The sequence below is a fragment of the Homo sapiens genome, chromosome 19, assembly GCF_000001405.40.
Source record: "Homo sapiens chromosome 19, GRCh38.p14 Primary Assembly".
NCBI lineage: Eukaryota > Metazoa > Chordata > Mammalia > Primates > Hominidae > Homo > Homo sapiens.
This window is the reverse complement of record NC_000019.10, coordinates 27,816,601-27,841,927: the sequence shown is the minus strand read 5'-3', so window position 1 is coordinate 27,841,927 and position 25,327 is coordinate 27,816,601. Positions and strand designations below refer to the sequence as shown.

General features: G+C 39.4%; 1 long non-coding RNA gene across 4 annotated transcripts in view; it reads right to left on the bottom strand.

The window, feature by feature from the left end:
- LINC02987 (long intergenic non-protein coding RNA 2987) overlaps positions 1-25,327 on the bottom strand; it is a 231,539-nt gene that overhangs the window by 183,042 nt on the left and 23,170 nt on the right. The window contains exon 3 of one of the 4 annotated variants that reach the window (NR_146736.1): positions 15,517-15,796. The exons of the other annotated variants lie outside the window; for them this stretch is intronic. This is a non-coding gene — a long non-coding RNA (long intergenic non-protein coding RNA 2987). Of the gene's footprint in view, positions 1-15,516; positions 15,797-25,327 lie in introns of those variants that run through there. 4 annotated transcript variants of the gene reach the window in all.

The following is a 25,327-nucleotide window of genomic DNA, read 5'->3' as shown; positions in this document are numbered from 1 at the left end:
CCAGCACTTTGTGACACCAAGGTGGGCGGATTGCCTGAGGTCAGGAGTTCAAGACCAGCCTGGCCAGCATGGTGAAATCCCATCTCTACTAAAAATACAAAAATATAGGCATGGTGAAATCCCATCTCTACTAAAAATACAAAAATATAGCTGGGCGTAGTGGTGGGTGCCTGTTATCCCAGCTACTCAGGAGGCTGAGGCAGCAGAATCGCTTGAACCTGGGAGGGGGAGGTTGCAGTGAGCCAAGATGGCACCATTGTACTCTAGTCTGGGCAACAAGAGTGAAACTATCTCAGAAAAAAAAAAATGTTTATTTGGCCAAGGTTGAGGATGCACACCCGTGACACAGCCTCAAGGTACTCTAACGACATGTGGCTAAGGTGGTCACAGCACAGTTTGGTTTTATACATTCTAGGGAGACATGAGACATCAATCAACATATGCAAGATGAACATTGGTTCAATCTGGAATGGTGGGAAAACTCGACCCAAAGGCGGGAAAACTTGAAGCATAGGTGGGAAGACTCAAAGTGGGGAGGGGGCATTGAGGTCATAGGAAATAGGAGACAAATGGTTGCATTCTTTTGAGTTTCTGTTAGCCTTTACAAAAGAGGTAATCAGATATGCATGTATCTCTGTGAGCAGAGGGGAGACTTTTTTTTTTTTGAGATGGAGTCTTGCTCTGTCGCCCAGGCTGGAGTGCAGTGATGCGATCTCTGCACACTGCAGCCTCCACCTCCTGGGTTCCAGAAATTCTCCTGCCTCAGCTTCCTGGGTAGCTGGAATTACAGGAATGCACCACCATGCCTGGCTAATTTTTGTATTTTTAGTAGAAATGGAGTTTCACCATGTTAGCCAGGCTGATCTTGAACTCCAGACCTCAGGTGCTCCACACCCCCTCAGCCTCCCAAAGTGCTAGGATTACAGGTTTGAGCCAATGCGCCCAGAGGGGTGACTTTGTACAGAATGAGAGGCAGGTTGGCCCAAAGCAGTTCCCAGCTTGACTTTTCCCTTTAGCTAGTGATTTGGAAGCCCCAAGATTTATTTTCCTTTCACACCATTTTTAAAACCAAGGAAGAAGAGTCTATGCTTGTTAAAAAAAAAAAAAAAAGGAAAAAGAAACACAAATGATAAAAGAACAATGGGGCCTAGCCAGGGTGGAGGTTCCTTAGGCAACAAGGCAGTGGGTGGAGGGAGGGCGGGAGTGCCACCGAGGTCAGCGTGGGGCCCAAGGGAAACCACAGTTTTCCCTGGCTGTGTGCAGGCAGCCAGGAGTTTTGATGGGATGCCTATGTTTTCAATAACAGTGACCTCTAGGTGACACCAGATGACAACCAAATGAAGGGTCAGCCTGGAATGAGTGGGATCCCTTGTTGAGGGGTGGGCGTGGAAGGGGAAGGGGATGGAGGCATATGGGGTCGCCGGTCTTCTGATCTCTCTTGGATTACATTTCTGAGCCCAGGGCACCCTCCCAGACAGTCCCCACAACTCTTCAACCACAGCCCCTGGGGAAAAGAGTACCATTTCTCAGAAAACAGACACACATGCAGGCACATACGCTCGTGGGAGCGCACCATATGTCTACAAGTTTATATCATGATAGTGAGCTTCCTTTTGCCAAATGTGTTTGTAATGAGTTTCATTAGATAGTATTGTTGAAAATATCAAATTATAGGACTGGGCATAGTGTCTCATGCCTGTAATTCTAGCACTTCTGGAGACCAAGGTGGGAAGATGGCTAGAGGCCAGGAGTTCCAGAGCAACCTGGAAGAGAGAGAGTTTATCACTACTTGAAAAAATTGCTGATCATTGTGGCACAGGCCTATAGTCTCAGCTACTCAGGAAGCTGAGACAAGAGGACTGCTTAAGCCCAGAAGTTCACCATTGCAGTAAGCTGTGCACAGGTGACTAGAGCTTTTTCTGTTCTATGCTGCTTAAATTTTCAATAACGGTCGCTGCTAGGTGACTCCCAATGACAATGAAAGCAAGTATCATTCTGGAATAAATGCGATCCCTGATGGAGGGGTAGGGGAGGAAGGGGGAGGGAATGGAGGCACATGGGGTCACCGGTTTTCTCGTGATTCCCCTTGGACAACGTGGAGGGCATCCTCCCAGACAGTCCCAAAAAAATTCAACTAGAGCCCCTGGGAAAAACAGCCTAATTCTCTGCACATCGGATCATCCAGAACTTTCATTTATCCAGAGAGAAGAGTGCGCCACTGGTGTGTGGCACAGGTTATGGGTAGAGGCAGGAGATACTGCAGACAGATGTTCAGTCTATAGAGTTTCACAGCAAATCCTAGGTTCAATGTCTCACGACCTCAGAGTAGCAATATCTGTCACCATGGAATGAAGTGCATGAAATGCATGCTCTGAACAAAGCATTTCATGGAGCAGATGGCTTGCACACTGTCTCTTGTCCCTAGGCCAGTTGTTTCTTCCAAAGTGCCCATTTCTCAATTGTGTTTCACAGTGTTCACCGTGTTGTGAATGAGTTAGGAATCTTGTTATGTGAATCCTGGAATTTCAATATTTGACATCACCAGATGAACATGAATGCTATCCTAGCCTTGTAGCAATAAAGTACCATTTCTCGGAAAACACACACCCACGCACACACACAAGCATGTATGCACACATGTGCATGCATCATATCCATACAATTTTACACTGTGTTAGTGAGCTTTCTTTCCCTACATGACTTTGTTATAGGTTTCACTAGATAGTATTGTTTAAAATATCAAATTATAGGTGCTGAGTGTGATGGTTTATGCCTGTAATTCCAGCACTTTGCAGGCCAAGCTGGGAGAGTTGCTTGAGGCAAGGAGTTTGAGACCATCATGGAAAACACAGCAAAATTCCATCTCTACCAAAAATACAACAAAATTAGCTGGGCGTTGTGGTGTGCGCCTATAGTCTCAGCTACTTAAGAGGCTGAGGCAGGGTTTGCTTGAGACCAGGAGTTTGAGATCTTATGATCCCCAATCCTGCAACACTGCTGTGGCCCATGAATTGGCTAGATGGTCAGCGACATGTAGGGAACATGATTACACAATTCATGACAAAAAAAATTGGAAAGAATTTTGTGGATAAACCCCTCTCACTGGGTAAGTTACATAAAGATATGTATGTTCCATGTGAATGCCCACCAAGGGATGACCACATCAGAGCAGGATTTTGATAATGACATGGACAGAATGACTTGTTCTGTGGGTATCAGTTATTCTTATTTCCCTGCCACCCTCTTCATCACCCAGTGGGCTTATGAACAAAGTGAACATAGTAGCAGAAATAGAAGCAATGCATGGGATAAGCAGCATCAACTTTGAATCCCAAAGGCCAGTCTGGCTACAGCCAGTTCTGAGTGTTAAATCTGACAGCAGCACATAACAACACTGAGTCCTTGATATGACACCATTTCTAGGGTGATTCGCCAGGTAGCTGGTAGTAGGTTTATTACATTGAATAACTTTCATAATATAAGGGGCAACAGTTTATACTCATTGGAGTAGGCTCTTGCCATGGATATAAATTTGTTTTACCTTCAGGGAATTCTTCTGCCAAAACTACCATCTATGGACTCACGGAATCCCTTATGCATTCTCATGGTATTCCACTCAGCATTGCTCAGACCAAGAAACTCACTTCACAGCCAAAGTGTAGTAATGTGCTCATCTTTATAGAATTCAGTAGACTTACCATGCTTTCCATTATCCTGAAGCAACTGGCTTAGTGGAATGATAAATGACCTTTTGAAATGTTGGTTATGGCACCAAGTAGGTGACAATACTTCTTAACAATGAAGCCAGGTTCTTCAGAAGGTGATATATGCTCTGCATCAGCGTCCAACCTATGGTACCATTTTCCCATAGTCAGGATTTATGAGTCCAAAAATGAAGAGGTGAAAATGGGAGTTATATCACTCATTATTTCCCCTCATGACCTTCTAGAAATATTTTTGGCTCTGCTCCCATGACTGGGCCTAGAGGTGGCCTAGAGGTCTCAGTTCCAGAGGAAGTACTGCTTCCAACAAAAGATTTTAAAAGTTATTAAATTGAACTGAAAGTTAAGAATGCCACTGTGCCACTTTGTGTTTCTCATGCCTCTCAGTCAACAGACTTAGAAGGGAGTTATAGTGTTACCTGGGGTGATAAATCTGGAATACCAAGGGAAAAGTTAGAATACTAATCCACAATGGAATAATGAAAAGTATGTCTGAAATACATAGTATTAGAATGAACTGTAATTAAGGTCAATGGGAAATTACAAGAACCCAATCCAGGAAAAACTAAAAACAGCCAAGAAACATTAGGAATAAAATTTGGGTCACAACTCTGAGTAAAGAACCATAACCAGCTTAGGTGCTTGTTAAATGTAATATGGAGTGGACAGAAGAAAGCTGTTACAAATACAAGCTACAACCAAATGACCAGTGATAGAAATGAGGACTATAACTGCCATGTGGATGGTCTTCCTATATAGTTAAGACTATGTTCATGTTTCTATAGACATATATTAAGCAAATGTTGTTGTTTTTGCTCTTTTATTATTCTTTGTTATGTAATACAATGTTTATTATGTTTATGTCAGTATTTAAATATTGTTAATTTTATATCATAGTCTTTAATCAGGAAAAATTTAACATGGTCCAAGAGCTTTACCTCATCTTCTGGAAAAGATACTGTTGCACTTTTCGTTGTTCTTGGAATAGATGCTTTATATTTGTTAAAACTATTACCTTGTTTTTGTCGTCATTTGGAAATTAGGTATGATATAAGGGCATATGTATAAGTGTCAAGGTGATGAGTGGTGGACTTATAATAATTAATTTTAGTTGTCAACTTAAGTAAATTAAGGAATACCTGGAGACTGCCAGGCATACATGGTGGTTCATGCCTGTAACCTCAGCATTTGGGAGCCTGAGGAGCAGTTGCTTGAGCCTAGGAGCTCAAGAACAGCAAGATAAGATTCTGTCTCTACAAAACATAAAAGAAAAAGGATGAGCTGAGCATCATGGCCAGTACCTGTTATCTCAGGTACTCAGGAGGCTGAAGTGGGAGAATTGCTTGAGCACAGGGAGTCAAGGCTGTAGTAAGCAATGATTACACCACTGCACTCCAGCCTGGGTGACAGATCAAGACCCTGTCTGAAAAGAAAAACACCTGGAGGACAGTTAAAGTATTATTTTTTGTGTCTCTGAAGGTGTTTACAGAAGATATTAGCATGTGAGTTTCAGTGGACTAAGTGGGAAAGACTCATTCTTAATGTGGGCAGAAATCATACAATTAGTAAAGAGCCAAGACAAAAAAGGAAGAAAGGCTGGGTGTGGTGGCTAATACCTGTAATACCAGCACTTTGGGAGGCCGAGGTGGGTGGATCACCTGAGGTCAGGAGTTCGAGACCAGCCTGGCCAACGTGTTGTAACCCCATCTCTATTAAAAATACAAAAAATTTACCGGGCATGGTGGCAGGCACCTGTAATACTTGCTAATTGGAAGGTCGAAGCAGGAGAATAACTTGAACCCGGGGAGAGGAGGTTGCAGTGAGCCGAGATCACACCACTGTACTCCAGCCTGGGCAACAAGAGTGAAACTCCATCTCAAAAATAAAATTAAAAAAAAATTGAAAAGACAATATAGAAGAATTGCTCTCTCTCTCTCTCTTTCTCTTTCTCTCTCTCCCTCCCTCCCTATTCGGGCACACTCTTCTTTTCCTATCCTTATATATCAGAACTCCAGGACTCCAGGCCTTTTGACTCCAGGACCTACACAAGTGAAATTCCAGGTTCTCATGTCCTCAGCCTTGGACTGAGATCTACACTGTGAGTTGTTTATTCTTTTTTCTTTTGTCTCCTCTGACTCTGTATTTTCAAATAGCCTGTCTTGAGGCTCACTAATTCTTTTTTCTGCTTGATCAATTCTACTATTAAAAGACTCTGATGCATTCTTCAGTTATTGCATTGCATTTGTATCTCCAAAATTTCTCCTTGACTCTTTTTAAAATTATTTTTTTCTGCATGTTAAATATATCTGAGAGAATTCTGAATTCCTTCTCTTTGTTATCTTGAATTTCTTTGTTTCCTTGACACAGCCATTTTGAATTTTCTATCAGGAAAATCACATATTTCTGTTTCTGCAGGATTCGTCCCTGGTTCCTTTTTTAGTTCATTTGGTTAAGTATTATTTTAAATCATTTGTTGATGCCAGTAGATCTTTGTGGGTGTCTCACCATTGAAGATTTTGATATTTGTTATAGTCAACACTCCCTGGGATTGTTTGTAGTCATTGTTCTTGGGAAGGCTTCAGAGATATTTGAAAGGACTTGGGTGTTGTGATCTAAGATTTTTCTACTTTAGGGGACTCCTCAAGCCCGGTAACAATGTGGTTCTTGCAGACTCACAGAGGTACTACCTTGATGGCTTTGAACAAGATTGTCTTGAACAAGATCCAGGAGAATTTTCTGAATTACCAGGCAGAGACTCTTCTTTTCTTCCCTTACTTTCTCCCAAACAAATGGAGTTTCTCTGTGTGTGTGTGTGTGTGTGTGTGTGTGTGTGTGTTCTGAGACACATGAAAGTGCATCTCTGTGGCCATCACAACTATGACTGCATTAGGTCAGACCTGAATCCAGCAGAGTGCTTGGTCTTACCCAAGGCCTGCTGTTACAGCTTCCTGGTTACTCCCTATGTTCACTCAAGACGCTGTGGCTCTACAATCAGCAGGTGAAAAAGGCAGCCAGGCCTGTATTTCCCCCTTCAGTTTGGCAAGGCTCTCCAGGCCCTAGGTAGGTTCAGAGGTGCTATTCAGGAGTCAGGAACGAAAATCAAACACCTCAGAAACCTAGAGTTTTGGTAATTGAGTTTGGGTGGAGAGTCTAGAATAGATCTTTAAAAAGACAAGAGTTTTTATTTTATTTTTTTCTTTTTCTTTTTCTTTCTTTTTTTTTTTTTTTTTTGAGATGGAGTTTCACTCTTTGTTGCCCAGGCTGGAGTGGAATGGTGCAATCTCAGCTCACTGAAACTTCCACCTTCCGTGTTCAAGTGATTCTCCTGCCTCAGCCTCCAGAGTCACTGGGATTACAGGCACCTGACACAATACCTGACTAATTTTTTGCATTTTTAGTAGAGACAGGGTTTCACCATGTTGTCCAGGCTGGTCTCGAACTCCTGACCTCAGGTGATCCACCTGCCTTGGGGTCCCAAAGTTTTGGGATTACAGGCATGAGCCACCAGGACCAGCTGGTAAGAGTTTGTAAATAAAGATTAAAACCTGATGGGAAAAACAATAGCGAAATATACAAAAATATACAAAAAAAATTATGTTCTTGTTAATTTTACTTAATTACTCTACTAAAAATACAAAAAAATTAGCTGGGCGTGGTGGCAGGCACCTGTAGTCACAGCTACTCGGGAGGCTGAGGCAGGAGAATTGCTTGAACCTGGGAGGGGAAGGTTGCAGTGAGCCGAGATCGGGCCACTGCACTCCAGCCTGGGCGACAAAGCGAGACTCTGTCTCAAAAAAAAAAAAAAAAAAAAAAAAGTAGTGCTTTGATTTTACTTGTGAAATGTATTCTTTCCTTCTTCTGGACACTAGTAAATTAAACACTAATACAAAGAGAATACATGTTTTCGTCATGTAATATATATCTGTGTATTATCTTTACATATGCTATATATTATATATATTATGTATAATATATAGATAAATATATATTATATACAGAAACGTAGGCAAAATATGCATTGCACACACACTCACACTCACACATGTGCTATCTGGTCTAAGATGTATCCAACCTGTTATTAGTGATCACTGAATAGTAATGACTGAACTTATTTAAAATATATTAAAAACATAATTAGCAATCTCATTCTTAGTTGAAACACCTAATTTGATAGACATAGAGTTACCAGTGGCTAAGCATGTTTTTTAAGGTAAATGTATATTCTATGTAAATCCCTCCCAAATGTTGATCTCAAAAGCATGTGCAACTTTTGTAAACACTTTTATGCGCTGCATTAAGTTAAAAATGGATGTCAAGTGTTACAATAATTGAATAGTTTTTTTTCTGAATATCAACACCAGGCTTTTACCTGTTTATCAAATGCACAATTGTCACCCCCTCTTTTCCTGGCATTGTTTTAGACCACTGGCAAGGGGCTGCTCAGCTTGCCAAAAGGATAGGATTAAATGATTGGTTTTTGAGATTCCAGTTTACCACTTACCAGCCATGTAGCTTTGGTTATTCATTTATTCTTTCTAAGCAGCCACTCACAATGAGACAACATTTTATCCTTCTATGTAAAATTGGAATAATGAGTCCATTGATCCTTGAGTGTCCCTAAAGATTAAGTCAACTCGCACCTGTAAGCTACTGCTTAACACAGTGCTTGGCACATAATATGTCCTTAAATAGCTGCATATATTTTCTTCTGTAGACAACAGATAGTAAATTATTCCAAAGGCAAAGCTCAGCTGGAACCTATTAACATTTCTGGACACTTCAGACACAAACTATGAAAAATCACAAGTTGTTGAACTTTGTGGAGAGACAGAAAAGTGCCAATCAGAGAAGAAATAGATCAATGAAGTACAGTCCAAACTTTTTTCTCTGCTCCCCACTGCCTGGTGACTCACACTCTCTGCCTATTTTTATCATCAGTCAAAGCAGAAGGATCTGACTTGACTTGCCTAACTCACAGTAGTAATCAGAGAACTTTAAAAAAAGAGCCTTGGGGTTGTACTTAATATCAATTAAATATTTACGTCTATAAATCTAAGAACATCTATTGCCACATAATGCTCATTAAAATCTATACTTACAGAACTCTGCCAGGTGTGATGGCTCACTCCTGTAATCCTAGCACTTTTGGAGGCTGAGGTGAATGGCTCAGTTGAGCTCAGGAGTTCGAGACTAGCTTGGGCTACATGGCAAAACCACATCTCTACAAAAAGTAAAAAAATTACCCGCGTGTGATGGTGCACATCCATAGTTACAGCTATTTGGGAGGATCACTTGAGCCCAGGAGATGAAGTTTGCATTGAGCTGAGATTACACCACTGCACTTCAACCTGGGTGAAAGTGAGACCCTCTCTCAAACATAAAATAAAATAAAATAAAATAAAATAAAATAAAATAAAATAAAATAAAATAAGATAAATAAAATAAAATAAAATAAAATAAAATAAAATAAAATCTATGTTTACAGAACTCTGATTGTTAATATGTCCACCCTACAGTTTGTAATTTATGAGAGTCATGAAGCATGTGTGGAATTAATCCAACTTATTTTTCCCTCTGCTCAGCTTTTTCTATGTAAGCACAGACCGTAGTGTTTAATATTTGTTTGAGGCAAGGGCTAAAGTAGGATAGCACTATCCCCTGGGCAGGAGCATGAGGGCGCAAGGGGCCAGAAGTGATTAGCATGCAGAGGGATTGGGTGGTTGGTAGATTTTTTTCTCTCTTGGTTTGCTATACTAAGGTCTGTGATGCCTTACATTTTAAGAGTACCCAGGATTAAGAACTTTTTACTTTCTACCACTTTGTAATCATTCTTGACCCTACACTTGTCAGCACTTCCACCCACCCTTGTACCTATATCTCCCTGTGCACCCTAGGAGACTACACAGAATGGTAAATTGGATACCTGTATCTAACGGAACTACAAAAGCTTGAGTTTCCCCCTCCAAATCTCCAATCCTATGTAGTTTAATATTTAAAGTTGCTTAAGTTGGCTATAGATGAAGGAAAAAATTTAGGAGTGCAGAGGGAGTGAGAACCTTCATCTGGGTAAAGAAGGGACTAACGGCTGGGCGTGGTGGTTCAGGCCTGTAATCCCAGCACTTTGGGAGGCCAAGGCGGGTGGATCACCCAAGGTCAGGAGTTCGAGACCAGCCTGGACAACATGGTGAAACCCAGACTCTACTAAAAATACAAAAATTAGCTGGGTGTGGTGGCAGGTGCCTGTAATCCCAGCTCTAAGGAGGCTGAGGCAGAAGAATCACTTGAACCTGGCAGGCAGAAGTTGCAGTGAGCTGAGATTGCACCATTGCTCTCCAGCCTGGGTGAAAAGCATGAAACTCCGTCTCAAAAAAAAAAAGGCACTAACAAGACCCATTTAATTTAGCTTTTAGCAGCCTTTAGACTGCTCATAGCTCAACCGCATAAACTTCTAGTGTTTTGGACTCAACCAAGCCTCAACATCAGCTTTAAAGACTGCTTGATCCTTCTAGCAGGAGAAACATGAACATGCAAAGCACTCAGGCTCCTAGTTTTAATCCTCCCACACATCAGCCTCTTTAGCAGACAGCAGAGTGTAGAGCTCTTGTTTCACCTCACTAACCACTTGGCTCAGAGAATTTGCTGTTGGACCTGGGGAGACTTCTCATATTCCCTTGAAAACTCTTCAAGTATTTGTTTCTCTCCCCCTTTTAGAAAGTTGTGTTTATCTCAGCATCATATTTTCATCACCAAAACTAAATAATTGTGAAGAATCGTAGATTCTACCTAATTTGTAAACCAACCTATAAACCTTCTAGTTTCATGGATGCTGGTAAAAGGCATGAGACACTTAAGTATGACAAAAATATTTACTTATTTTCTGCATAACTGAAGGCAAAAGCTTCATATTTGTATTAGTTCTCCCTGTCTATACTCGATTTTTAAAAGGGATTTCAAAAGGCTCAGATGGACATTGCACATGGGAAAGATTTGTGTCACAGCCGAGTAATCTCAAGATAAAGAAACCCTAATCTTTTTAAAGTAGTTCACATGCAAACCTGTCCAATCTTTGCCTCACAGACAAACATTGTCTTTATCATATTGGTTGAGTAATTTATCTGTCATTCACCTGAAGAGAAAAACTACTACTCTTTTTCCAGGCTATTTGTGTACAAAAATCTTTGAAAAATAATCTGGAACAGGACAGATATATGATGTAATAAATAACAAAACAACAAACTCTAAGAGACTTTTGGAGAATTATATTTCAGCAGCATGCATCTGTTCCATTAAATGTTGCACTAAGGAATCCTCTGATGAAAAATATCCATTGAAGATTTTTGACATAAAGACTAACTTTGGTTGTTTTGTGTTGTGGAATTGCTAAAGATTGAAAGATACAGGAAGAAATACAATTACCAGGGACTTTACAGTAATGGAAGTTCTTTGTGTGAAGTAATGTAATTCTGGGTGAGTGAATGACAGCTGAGAGTAAATGAAAATAAAACACAATTTAACATTTTTACATATTTAGAACATGCTGAAATTGGTTAGCTTATTGGAAAAAGTTAAATGACTACCAATGTATACAGCATATTTATTCTGAGTGAATCGCTAATCTAGATTTGAAAGACAAAATAATTATTTTTACTACACGGAAATATAAACTGCATTTCCATATACCAACAAGGAACTATTTGAAAGGAAATTAAGAAAACAATTGTTTGCAACAACATTAAAATAATATAATACTTAGCGATAAATTTAAAAAGGAAGTAAAAACCTGTGCAATGAAGACTACAGGATGGGAATATTTCGGAAATAGACTTAAATAAGTGTCAAGGAATTCCATGTTCATGGACTGGAAGACTTAATAATGTTAAGATGACAATATTACCCAAAGTAGTGTACAAATGTAATCCCAACTTTTTATTTTTTCCAACTTTTTTCTGCGTAAATGGAATAGCCCATTCTAAAATTTATATGGAATTTGAGGGTACTCTGAATGGCCAAAATAATCTTGAAAAGACCAAAGTGAAAGGCTCACAATTTTAAATTTCAGAACACACAAAGCTACTGTAATTAAAACAGTTTGATATTGGTATAAGAACAAGGATAGAGACCAAAGAAATAGAATAGATAACTCAGAAGAAAAAACCTTGCATAAATTATTGGTTGCCTTTTGACAAGGGTGCCTAAACCATTTTGTAAAGAAAGACACTCTGTTCAACAAGTGATTCTCGGAAAACAAGCCCACATTTAAAACAGTAAAGTTGGCCGGGTGTGGTGGCTCACGCTTGTAATCCCAGCACTTTGGGAGGCCAAGGCAGGTGGATCACCTGAGGTCAGGAGTTCAAGATCAGCCTGGCCAACATGGTGAAACCCCATCTCTACTAAAAATACAAAAATTAGCCAGGTGTTGTGGCAGGTGCCTGTAATCCCAGCTACTTGGGAGGCTGAAGCAGGAGAATTGCTTGAACCTGGGAGGTGGAAGTTGCAGCGAGCTGAGATCACACCATTGCACTCCAGCTTGGGTGATGCGAAACTCTGTCTCAAAACAACAAAAAAGTAAAATTGAATCTTTATCACATTCCATGTACAAAAATTAAATAAAAATGGATTCAAGACATGAAAATAATTGATGTTAAAACTTTATTGGTTTCTGATGGTTGTTTTTATTTCTGTAGGGTCAGTACTACTACTGTGAACACCTCTATACACACAAACTAGGAAACTTAGAAGAGATAGATAAATTCCTGGACACACATGCCCTCCCAAGACAGAGCCAGGAAGACATTGATTCCATGAACAGACCAATACCACGCTCTGAAATTGCATCAGTAATAAGTAGCTTGCCAATCAAAAAAAGCCCCGGACCTTATGGATTTGCAGCCAAATTCTACCAAATGTATAAAGAAGAGCTGGTACAATTCCTACAGAAACTATCCCCAAAAATTGAGGAGAGTCTCCTCCCCAACTCATTCCATGAGGCCAGCATCATCTTGACACCAAACCCTGGCAGAGACACAATGAAAATAGAAAACTTTAGGCCAATGTCCTTGATGAAAATTAATGCAAAACCTCTCACCAAAATACTTGCAAACTGAATCCAGCAGCACGTCAAAAAGATAATCCATCATGATAAAGTAGGTTGCCTTCTTAGTATGCAAAACCACAATGACATATCACTTTACGCATATTAGGGTGACTATATAAAAAACAAAACAACAGAAATGAAAAAGAACAAGTATTAGCTAGGATGTGGAGGAAGTGAAACCCTGGTGTATTGCTGGTGAGAATATAAAATGGTTTATTGACTGTGAAAAATAGTTTGGCAGTTTATCAGAAAGTTCTACATAGAATTACCGTATGTTCCAGCAACTCCATTACAGGTGTATCTCCAAAATAATTAAAAGTAGGGACTTAAGCTGCAACCTCTGCCTCCAGGGCTTAAGCAATTCTTGTGCCTCCGTCTCCCGAATAGCTGGGACTATCAGCATGTACCACCATGCCCAGCAAATTTTTGTACTTATAGTAGAGACGGAATTCCTCCATGTTGCCCAGGCTGGTCTCAAACTCCTGAGCTCAAGCGATCTGCCCACCTCAGCCTCCCAAAATTCTGGGATTACAGGTGTGAGCCACCGTGTCTGGCCTCTGTTATTCAATCTAAGAACTGCATGCAGAGATGTGTTCAGGTTTTAAAATTTTATTCACTTATGCACTGATACTTTCACACCAATTTTTATAGAAGCATCATTTATAGTACTAAATGTAAAAACAAACCCAGATATCTTCTAAGAAATAAACAGATACAGAAAATATGGTATATACGTACAATGGAATATTATTTAACCTTAAAATGAGTGCACTGCTCATGAGTGTGGTGGCTTATGCTTATAATCCCCAAACTTTGGGAGGCAAAGATGAGAGAATCTCTTGAGTCTAGGAGTTTGAGACCAGCTTGTGCAACATAGCAAATCCCAGCTCTACAAAAAATACAAAAATTTACTGGACTTGATGGTGTGTCCCTCTAGTCCCATCCACAGGGAGGATCATCTGAGGTAGGAGAATCACCTGAGCCCGGGGAAGTTGAGGCAGCAGCGAGTCAGGATTGCATTGCTGTGCGCTCCAGCCTGGGTGACAAAGAGAGACTCCATCTCAAAAAAAGAATGCTACATGGATGAACATTGAAGATGTTATACTATGTAAAATAAGCCAAATACAAAAGGATAAATATTTAATGTCAAATATGGTGTGTAGGGGAATGTCATGTGGGGCTGGCTCATCCTGAACAGGAAGAGATTGTTGGGAGGTTAGAATCCTGGTGGCTCATCATGTTTACACACCTGGTCATGGCTGGCAAAGTAGGGAGGCAAGTGCTGGTGCAAAGATTGTTCTGAGCCCTGGAGCTGTCGTCTGGTGCTTTCCAAGGCTGAAGTTCTGTGTAGACGTAAGTCTATGCCTAATCTGGGGAGCAGAAGGTTGAGTGGGGTATGAGGAGCAGCAGTGATGGCCAGGAATAGCTCTGAGGCTTCCAGGTCTGTCTACCAGTTACTGTCTTTGCAGAGCTCCACACAGGAGACTGGCAAAAAGGTGTTAGTGGGGTAACCATGTTTACTCTCTTGAAGGCCAGAAGCTTGCTGCTGCCAAAAAGGGCCAGCATTGAAATGAGGTGAGTGGAAGAACAGAGGGTTCTCCAAACCAGCCCAGAGATGGCTGATGAAGGACCCCTGCCCAGACACCACCAAGACAACTCTAAAGGGCTCTGTCTCATATATTAACACATATACATAGATGAACACACACACAAAGATATAGTATAGATGTAGATATTTATTCTATTGCTTCTATTTCTCTGAATAACTCTAATACCATTTGTAATAAGTAAAAGACCGCATAAGTTATCAAAAACATACTAACATACTAACAAAGAAAAGTCTGGAACCAGATGGCTCCACTGATAAATTGTTTTAAACATTAAAAGCTGTAACTACAATTTTTCTCAAATTCTTTAAAAATTGCAATCAATCAGTGCAATATACCAACTCAATAGAATGAATTTTACAAAAAACATGATTATGTCAATTGATAGAGAAAAAATTTGGCATAATCCAAAACTCTTTTATGATAAGAGCACTTAGTAAACTAGATATAGACTAAAACTTCCTCAACATAATAAAAGGCACGTATAAAAAACTCAAAACTACCATTATATGCAGTGATGAAAGATTAAAAGCTTTCCCCCTAAAATCGGGAACAAGGCAAGGATACCTGCATTCCTCACTTCTGATCAACATTGTAATAGAAATCTGGCCAGAATAATTGGGCAACACAAAAACAGAAACACTCCAATTGGAAAAGAAAAAAGCTTATTTCTATATATAGATGTTATAATTTTATACATAAAATTAAAATCCTAATTAATAACAATAGAACTGTTAACACTAATAATCAAATTCTGCAAAGTTGTAGGATCCAAGATCAATACAAACACATTAATGGAATAGAATTAAAAGTCAGGAAATAAACCCATACATGTAATTTTTTGACATGGACTTGGCAAAGCTGCAGGAGCTATTGGAAACCATTTATTTCATGTATTTTAGCCCCATTTTAGAAGATCCTTCCTCATTGGGGAATAGTTAATAGCTTTCCATTCAATGTCAGTGAGCTAGAATATGTAGTTTTCAAAGAAAGCTTCCATTTTAAGATACAAATGAATTTAAGACAAAGTTCAAAAGATATAAATAAACTTTCTTTAGCATCTTAATGAAAAAAGTGTTTGGTGTTTTATTTTGTCCAAATTTGAAATTAAATATTCATTTCAATTTTTCCAATAGGCATTAAAAATAAACAGGCTATTGAAAAAAAATTCTTAGAGCATGTTCAAATTTTAATTTAGCCTTAAACATGTTTACAAAATATGACCTGGGGTTGATCAGCTTTTTCACCTGCAGGGTTAATGGAGCCAGCATCCCCACTTTGTTCACAGAGGTAACGTAGCTCTTCAGCTTGTCTTCAAACACATCCAGTTCATTCCTCATAGAAACAGGTATGAAGAATTCTATGAAAACGAACTGGGGACAAAGAGTGAACATTTTACAGTTCCACCTGTGTCCAGACAGAGATCTCTTTTTAGTTCAGAGGCCAGTCTCTCTCAAGCATTTGAAACTTCTATGTAAATGACTCTTGGCACTGGCTATATTGAGACAAATGGGATATTAAATTCTATGAAGGTAGGAGTCACCCACACTCTGTTCTTCACTCCCACAGTGTACAATACAGTCTCACAAGAGCTTGTAGAACTATTCCAACATGAGTGAGATCAGAGTGAAAAGATTCACTTTGAGTAAGGATTGACTTTGGGATAATTCCAACCCTACCCCACCCTACTGCCAAGTTAATAAAGCTTTCTGTCCCATGTTATGGTAGCCACCTCTGTCATCCTATCACCCTGCCATTGCTCAACCATTTCTGCATCCATCTTTCTCTATCAACTAAATCTTACTTATCTTTGAGAGTGGATCTTACTTGCTATCATCTTCAGGAAGTTTCCCAAAGTAGAATAATTAACTAAACTTTCAGAGCCTTTTCACATTATTCTTTTCTTTCTTATGACAGCAGGCACTTCATACCATGTATTTTCTTATTTTCTTAGACTGTGAGTTTCTCTCATACTAGGACTCTGCTGTCTCAGCTCTCTGTCCTCCCTTCAGCCCTTATCACGGTACTTGGCTATAATAGATGTTCAATAAATATTTGAGAAACACAGTAAATCCATATGAGTGACATATTGTAACAGAAAACTCTTGTCGTTCATAAAAATCTATTCTTCCTTTTGTTAGGCACAGATGAATTACATTTCTTAACCTCCTTTGCCTTAGATGTGGAAATGTGACCAGTTATTGATAATGCTGATGGAGTGAGACAGATGTGAACCACATTAAGTTGAGTCCATTAAATCTTCCCACATGTATTTCTTAAAGTACTTTATTTTAAGGGGACTGAGCACAAAGGGCAACCAAGACTCATGGATGGTGAAGGCAAATAATGAAAAAACTCTGAGTTCCTGAATTACCACTTGCAAAGGAGGTGCTTTTTCAACTTGGTCACTCAATAACACTGTTATGTGTGCTAAAATATGCTGTTAATCTACTGCAAATTACGGGGATGGTATTTGACACTTCAGTATAACCTAAACCATGCACTTAAAAACCTAATCACTGAATTAATTTAAAAGGCATCCTTATAGTACATTTAAGATGACAAATGTTAAGTCGGTCTTGCAATTTTTACCCTTTCATTTTGACCATACTATGTTATGTTAGAGAATTTGAACCACACAAAATAATTTTATTATGGGTTTAATAAACAGATAAAATCAGTCAAATAATCAAATAAAATCAGATTTTATTTATTTGAGAATGTGTTTTCCAGAGCAAACTCATATATGACATTTTAACTCCATTATTTATATTTTATAGAACATAACAAATTCAAGTTAATCTGTTCTAATTTTTAATTCAACTGAATTATTGTTATCATGATCACTATATTTAAATAAAAATTATCTGACTTTTTCACATCATAATTTACAGATTCTGCTTCTATAAATTTTCTATATGGACCATTATATCTACCCAGTCAACTTTCCTGGGTCAAACTGTGGATACCCAAATGTTTTTGAGAATATTTTTCTCTTATGTTAGTTTTTAGTCAATGATACGTTGTATCATGTTCAATTTTAATCATCAGTTTTCTTTTTTGTGCATTATCTTCACAGTAATATGGATCATGGACATTGAAGTATCCTCAGGGTTAAAAATGTTGGAATCCAAGCATTCTACCTCTTTTATTTGTATGGTTTCAATTATGACTCAGCATTTTAGAAAAATGTTAGCTCTATAATCTTCCACCCTCACCCCTTTAAATAAGAACATACTTTTTTAGACACGCAAGGGTCAGGCAGATACAACTACACAGTGGTTGACATCATTTTTGGGAAGGAACTGAAAACTGGTTTTATACTCAAACATCCTGTTGGGAAACTGTCAAATTAAAAAAATTATGACATTTGTTAAAAATTCGGAAGAAAGACTTTAACACTATTGCAGTAGATGTTATGGCCATTGTAATACGGTTCAGAAATCGATCATAACTCTGAACACAGACAACTCAGGATTTATAATCAATAAGCAAATAAATCAGTGGATAAAAAATTACTGAAATAAATTTGATAAAATACCAAAGGAGGAGGAATTTTTTTTTGTAACAGAATTCTGTTTACAGGCAGGCTAAGGACTTAAATATCAGGGAAGGGGAATGAGGATTTTAGTAGATGTAAAAAATATGTGGATTTTTACTAAGCAATCTTAGCAGCATTTCTGAAAATAAGCTTCTCAGACCAGGAGCAGGGCAACAAGCCAAGGTTGACTAAGTCAAGAAGAGAGTTAAGTTAAGCTTAACTAACCTTTGGTCATAAAAAGAGTGCTTGTCAGAACCAAGACTTTTTCCCATCTGATCTGAAAATAAATAAACACCAAAAGAGGCTTTGCTTGGAAAATAAGTGCCACTTCACCTGAGACAAACTCCATTTTCTCCTTGTTATCTTTGAATTTAGTGCAGAAAAAGAGCACTGGTTATTGCCATAGTTTTTATTTTTCTTTCATTCTTAAAGACAGAGATTCAGTTTTATTCAAACAGCAACTTACCATACACAATGGTTATAGTTCCTGACCCCTATTGAAGCTAATAATGACTAGAAAACATTCAAGACAATTGGGTGTAACCAGAAGTATTGACGGGACTTTGGGGAGACTGTTCAGATGAGGCTGACACAGCTGTGTGAGCCACTTTGACCTTGCATCTTTCCTCCTTCTTGATCTTTGAAATGCACATGGTTGCTGGTGTAGGCTGACGGTCCTACAGCCATCTTGGCCCATGAGACAGCCTACAGGATAAAAACCATCTACTGAAATATTGTAGCAGAAAAGGGTGCCAGGATGGCTGACTAGAAGTAATATGGTGTGTGGCTCTCATGGAAAGGAACAAAGGAGGAGAGTAAATACAACACCTTCAGCTGAAACACCCAGGTATTTGCACTGGGAATAATGAAGGAAACAACTCAACCCATGCAGAATGGAGAAGAGCAGGGCATGGCAACTGCCCACCTAGAAGTGACACAGAGCGAAGGGAATCTACCCTGTCCAGGGAAGTGGTGAGTGAATGTGTGACCCTGTGAAACCACACTTCTCCCATGGATCTTTTTATCCCTCAGGTCAGGAGATTTTCTCATGAACCCATTTCACCAGGGCCTTTGGTCTGACACACAGAGCTGCATGGTCTTGCCAGAGAAACTGCTCAGACAAATAGAATCTCAGAAGCTTTACACACTCCGGCTCCAGGATCTCCAGCAAAGGTGACTGCAACTCGGACAAAACAGGAGGTGGGACCACCATAAAAATCCCAGAAAGGAAGCCTAAACCACAGGGATGAACAACATCAGTCTGTGGGCCCCACATCCATGATGCCTCACCCGATAAGACCCACTGGCTTGGAATTCCAGCCAGCCCCCAGTAACAGTGTTTTACCTACCTGGGATGAGACAAAGTTCTGGAGACAGAGGCAGACTGCCATACTTGCTGTTTGGATGACTCAGCCTTTCCAGCCTGTGGGTTTAGGAGAGTCCAAGCAAAACTGATGGCAGATGAAGGGAAGCCCTGGCACAGCACAGTGGCTCTACCAAAATGTGGCCAGACTGCTTGTTTAAGTGGGACCCTGACACATTTCTCATCTCAGGGTGGGGCCTCCTACTCGGGCCTCCAGCCAGCCCCTTCCATATTCTCCAGCAGACAGAATTTTGCTTTCTCCCTGGATGCAGTGTCCAGTGGGAGAAGTGGGCCACCACATTTGCTGTTTGGACAACTCAGCCATTCCAGCCTGTGGGCTTAGGAGACCCCAAACCATACAGGGGGCAGAAGCAATCCCCCAGCACAGCACAGTGGCTCTACCATGATGTGATCAGACTGCTTCTTTAGGTAGGATCCTGATATGCCCCTTATCTCTGAGTGGGACTTCCCAACCAGGGCCTCCAGCCACTTCCACTGATGTTCTCTGGCCAACAGAAGTTTGAAAACTTTCTGGGACAGAGTTCCTAGAGATAGGGGTGGGCCATCAACTTTGCTGTTTCAGCAACTTAGCTTTTTCAGCCTCCAGGCTTTAGAGAGCACAACCTGATGAGGGGCAGAAGTGGTACCCCAGCATAGCATGGCTGCTCTATGAAAGTGGGGCTAGACTGCTTCTTTAAGTGGGTCCCCAATCCTGTTCCCCCTGGATAGGTGAGACCTCCCAAAAGGGGTCTCCAGTCACCTCCTACAGGTGTGTTCAAGCCAGCAACAGGTCTGCACCTCCCCTGAGATGGACCTCCCAGAGAAAGGGGTGGGCTGATTTGTTGTTTCACAGCCTTCACTAATGATACCTCCAGATACTGAAAAATCCTAGATGACTACAGACTGGGGCAGATGCCCAAAGAACTGCAACAGCCCTACACAACATGGCCAAACAGTTGAAAGGAAAACAAACAAAAATCCCATTCAAAGGTCAGCAACCTCAAAGATTAAAGGTAGATAAGCACACAAAAGTGAGAAAGGATCAGCACAAGAATACTAAAAACTCAAAAAGCTAGAGTGCCTTCACTCCTCCAAATGACAACATTACTTCTCCAACAAGGGTTCAGAATAGGGCTGAGGCTGAGATGGCTGAAATAACAGAAGTAGACCCCAGAATGTGGATAAAAATGAACTTCACTGAGCTAAAGGAGCATGTTCTAACTCAATGCAAGAAAACTCAAAATTACAATATAACATTGCAAAAGCTGACAAACAAATTAGCCTGGATAGAGAAGAATCTAAGCAACCTGATAGAGCTGAAAAACACAATACAGTAATTTCATAATGCAATCACAAATATTAATATCAGAATAGACCAAGAACATGGGAGAATCTCAGCTCTTGAAGACTGTCTTTCTGAAATAAGACAGGCAGACAAGAATAGAAAAAAGAGAATCAAAAGGAATGAACAAAACCTGTGAGCAATATGGGATTATCTAAAGAGACCAAATTTATAACTGATTGGTATACCTAAGAGAGCTGGGGAGAATGGAGCCAATTTTTAAAAAATATTTCAGGATATCGTCCATGAGAATATCCCCAGCCTTGCTATACAGGTCAACATTAAAATTCAGAAAATGCAGAGAACTCCAGTAGGATACTCCATGAAAAGATCATGCTCAAAACATATAATTATCAGATTCTCCAAAGTTAAAATGAAAAAAATATTAAGGGCAGCAAGAGAGAAAGGCCAGGTCACCTACAAAGTGAAGCCCATCAGACTAAGAGCAGACCTCTCACTGAAAACTCTACAAGCTAAAAAAGATTGAGGGCCAATATTTAACATTCTTTTTTTTTTAAAAAAAAATTATTATTATTATACTTTAAGTTTTAGGGTACACGTGCACAACATGCAGGTTTGTTACATATGTATACATGTGCCATGTTGGTGTGCTGCACCCATTAACTCGTCATTTAGCGTTAGGTATATCTCCTAATGCTATCCCTCCCCCCACCCACCCATCCCATAACAGGCCCCGGTGTGTGATGTTCCCCTTCCTATGTCCATGTGTTCTCATTGTTCAATTCCCACCTATGAGTGAGAACATGCGGTGTTTGGTTTTTTGTCCTTGCGATAGTTTGCTGAGAATGATGGTTTCCAGTTTCATCCATGTCCCTACAAAGGACATGAACTCATCATTTTTTATGGCTGCATAGTATTCCATGTGTGTATGTGCCACATTTTCTTAATCCAGTCTATTGTTGGACATTTAGGTTGGTTCCAAGTCTTTGCTATTGTGAATAGTGCCGCTATAAACATATGTGTGCATGTGTCTTCATAGCAGCATGATTTATAATCCTTTGGGTATATACCCAGTAATGGGATGGCTGGGTCAAATGATATTTCTAGTTCTAGATCCCTGAGGAATCGCCACACTGACTTCCACAATGGTTGAACTAGTTTACAGTCCCACCAACAGTGTAAAAGTGTTCCTATTTCTCCACATCCTCTCCAGCACCTGTTGTTTCCTGACTTTTTAATGATTGCCATTCTAACTGGTGTGAGATGGTATCTCATTGTGGTTTTGATTTGCATTTGTCTGATGGCCAGGGATGATGAGCATTTTTTCATGTGTGTTTTGGCTGCATAAATGTCTTCTTTTGAGAAGTGTCTGTTCATATCCTTCGTCCACTTTTTGATGGGGTTTTTTTTTTTTTTTTCTTGTAAATTTGTTTGAGCTCATTGTAGATTCTGGATATTAGCCCTTTGTCAGATGAGGAGGTTGCAAAATTTTTTTCCCATTCTGTAGGTTGCCTGTTCACTCTGATGGTAGTTTCTTTTGCTGTGCAGAAGCTCTTTAGTTTAATTAGATCATATTTGTCAATTTTGGCTTTTGTTGCCATTGCTTTTGGTGTTTTAGACATGAAGTCCTTGCCCATGCCTATGTCCTGAATGGTATTGCCTGGGTTTTCTTCTAGGGTTTTTATGATTTTAGGTCTAACATTTAAGTCTTTAATCCATCTTGAATTAATTTTTGTATAAGGTGTAAGGAAGGGATCCAGTTTCAGCTTTCTACATATGGCTAGCCAGTTTTCCAAGCACCATTTATTAAATAGGGAATCCTTTCCCCATTTCTTATTTTTGTCAGGTTTGTGAAAGATCAGATAGTTGTAGATATGTGGCATTATTTCTGAGGGCTCTGTTCTGTTCCATTGGTCTATATCTCTGTTTTGGTACCAGTACTATGCTGTTTTGGTTACTGTAGCCAAATTCAAAAAGATCAAAAATTCAAATAAACACAGTCAGAAATAATAAATTACCACTGACTCCACAGAAATAAAAATAACCATTAAAGAATATTGTAAACAACTCTATGCACATAAGCTAAAAATCTTAGTAGAAATGGATAAATTTCTGAACACATACATCCTCCCAAGACAAACCAGAAAGAAATTCAATCCCTCAAAAGAGAAATAACTGCTCTGAAATTGAGGCAGCAATAAATAGCATACCAACCATTAAAAGCACAGGACCAGAAAAATTAACAGCTGAATGCTCCCCGATATACAAAGAAGAACTGGTACAATTTCTACTAAAACTATTTCAAAAAATTGAAACAGAAGGTATTCTCCCTAACTCTTTCTATGAGACCAGATCATACTGGTACCAAAACATGGCAGACAAAAGAAGAAACTTCAGGCCAATATTCTTGATGAACACTGATGCAAACATTCTCAACAAAATACTGGTAATCCAAATCCAGCAGCACATCAAAAATCTTATCCACCACAATCAAGTAGGCTGTATTCGTGGGATGCAATGTTGTTTCAACCTACACAAATCAATATGTGATTCATCACATAAACAGAACTAAAGACAAAAACGACATGATTATCTCAATAGATGCAGAAAAAGCTTTCAATAAAATTCAACATCCATTCATGTTTAAAACTCCCAATAAATGAGATATTGAGAAAACATACCTCAAAATAGTAAAAGCCATATATGCCAAACCCACAACCAACATCATACTGAAAGAGCAAAGGCTGAAAGCATTTCCCTTTAAAACCAGCACAAGTCAAGGATGCCCTCTCTCACCACTCCTATTTAAGATAGTATTGGAATTTACTGGCAAGAGAAACAAATAAAAGGCATTCAAATCAAAACAGAGGAAGTTAAACTACACTTGATGGCAGATGACATGATCTTATATCCAGAAAACTCCATTGTCTCACCCCCAAAGCTTCTTAAGCTGATAAACATCTTTAGCATAGTCTCAAGATACAAAATCAATATGCAAAAATCACTAGCATTCTTTTTTTTTGAAAAGGAGTCTCGCTCTGTTGCCCAGGCTGGAGTGCAGTGGCATGATCTCGGCTCACTGCAAGCTCCACCTCCCAGGTCCACGCCATTCTCCTGCCTCAGCCTCCCAACTAGCTGGGACTACAGGTGCCCACCACCACGCCCAGCTAATTTTTTGTAATTTTAGTAGAGACAGGGTTTCACCGTGTTAGCCAGGATGGTCTCAATCTCCTGACTTCATGATCCGCACGCCTCGGCCTTCCAAAGAAAAGTCACTAGAATTCTTATACACCAACAATGGTCAATCCAAGAGGAAAATCATGAATGAACGCCCATTCACTATTGCCACAAAAAGAACAAAACACCTAGGAATGCATCTAACAAGGGAAGTGAAAAGTCTGTACAAGGAGAACTATGAACTACTGCTCAAAGAAATCAGGGATGACATAAACAAATAGAAAAACATTTCATGCTTATGGATAGGAAAAATTAATATTGTTAAAATGGCCATGCTCCCCAAAGAAACTTACAGATTTAATACTATTCCCATTAAACTACCACTGACATTTTTCACAAAGCTAGAAAAATTTATTTTAAAATTTATATGAAACCAAAAAAGAGCCTTAATAGTCAAGACAATCCTAAGCAAAAAAGAACAAAGCTGGAGACATCATGCTACCCAACTTCAAACTATGCTACGGGGCTACAGTAACCAAAACAGTATGGTGCTGGTACAAGAACAGACATGTAGACCAATGAAACAGAATAGAGAACCCAGAAATAAGACTGCGCACCTACAACTATCTGATCTTTGACAAACCTGACAAAAACAACCAATGGAAAAAGGGCTCCCTATTCAGTAAATGATGCTGGGTTAACTGGATAGCCATATGCAGAAAATTGAAACTGAACCCCTTCCTCCATCATTGTCAGCAAACTAACACAAGAACAGAAAACCAAACATGGCATGTTCTCACTCATAAGTGTGAGTTGAACAATAAGAACACATGGACACTGGGAGGGAAACAACACACACTGGGGCTAATCAGACAGTAGGGGGTGAGGGGAGGGAGAGCATTAGGGCAAATAGCTAATGCATGTGGGGCTTGAAGCCTGGATGACGAGCTGATAGGTGCAGCAAACCACCATGGCACATGTATACCTATGTAACAAACCTATATGTTCTGCACTTGTATCCCGGAACTTAAACTAAAATTAAAAAAGAAAGAAAGAAATAAACTGAACTCCTTCCTAACACCGTATACAGAAATTAACTCAAGATAGTTTAACAAGTTAAATGTAAAACCCAAAATTATAAAAACTTTGGAAGACAACCTAGGAAATACCATTCAGGACATAGGCACGGGCAAATATTTTATGATGAAGATGCCGAAAGCAATTGGAGCAAAGGAAACATTGACAAATGGGATCTAATTAAACTAAAGATGTTCTGCACAGCAAAATAAACTGATGTTCTGCACAGCAAAATAAACTATCAACAGTGTAAACAGACAACGTATAGAATGGGAGAAAAATTTTGCAAACCATGCATCTGACAAAGATCCAATTTCTAGCATCTATATGGAACTCAAATTTACAAGAAAAATCAAACAACCTTATTGAAACGTGGGCAAAGGACATGAAGAGACACTTCTTAAAAGAAGACATACATGCAGCCAACAAGCATATGAAAAAAA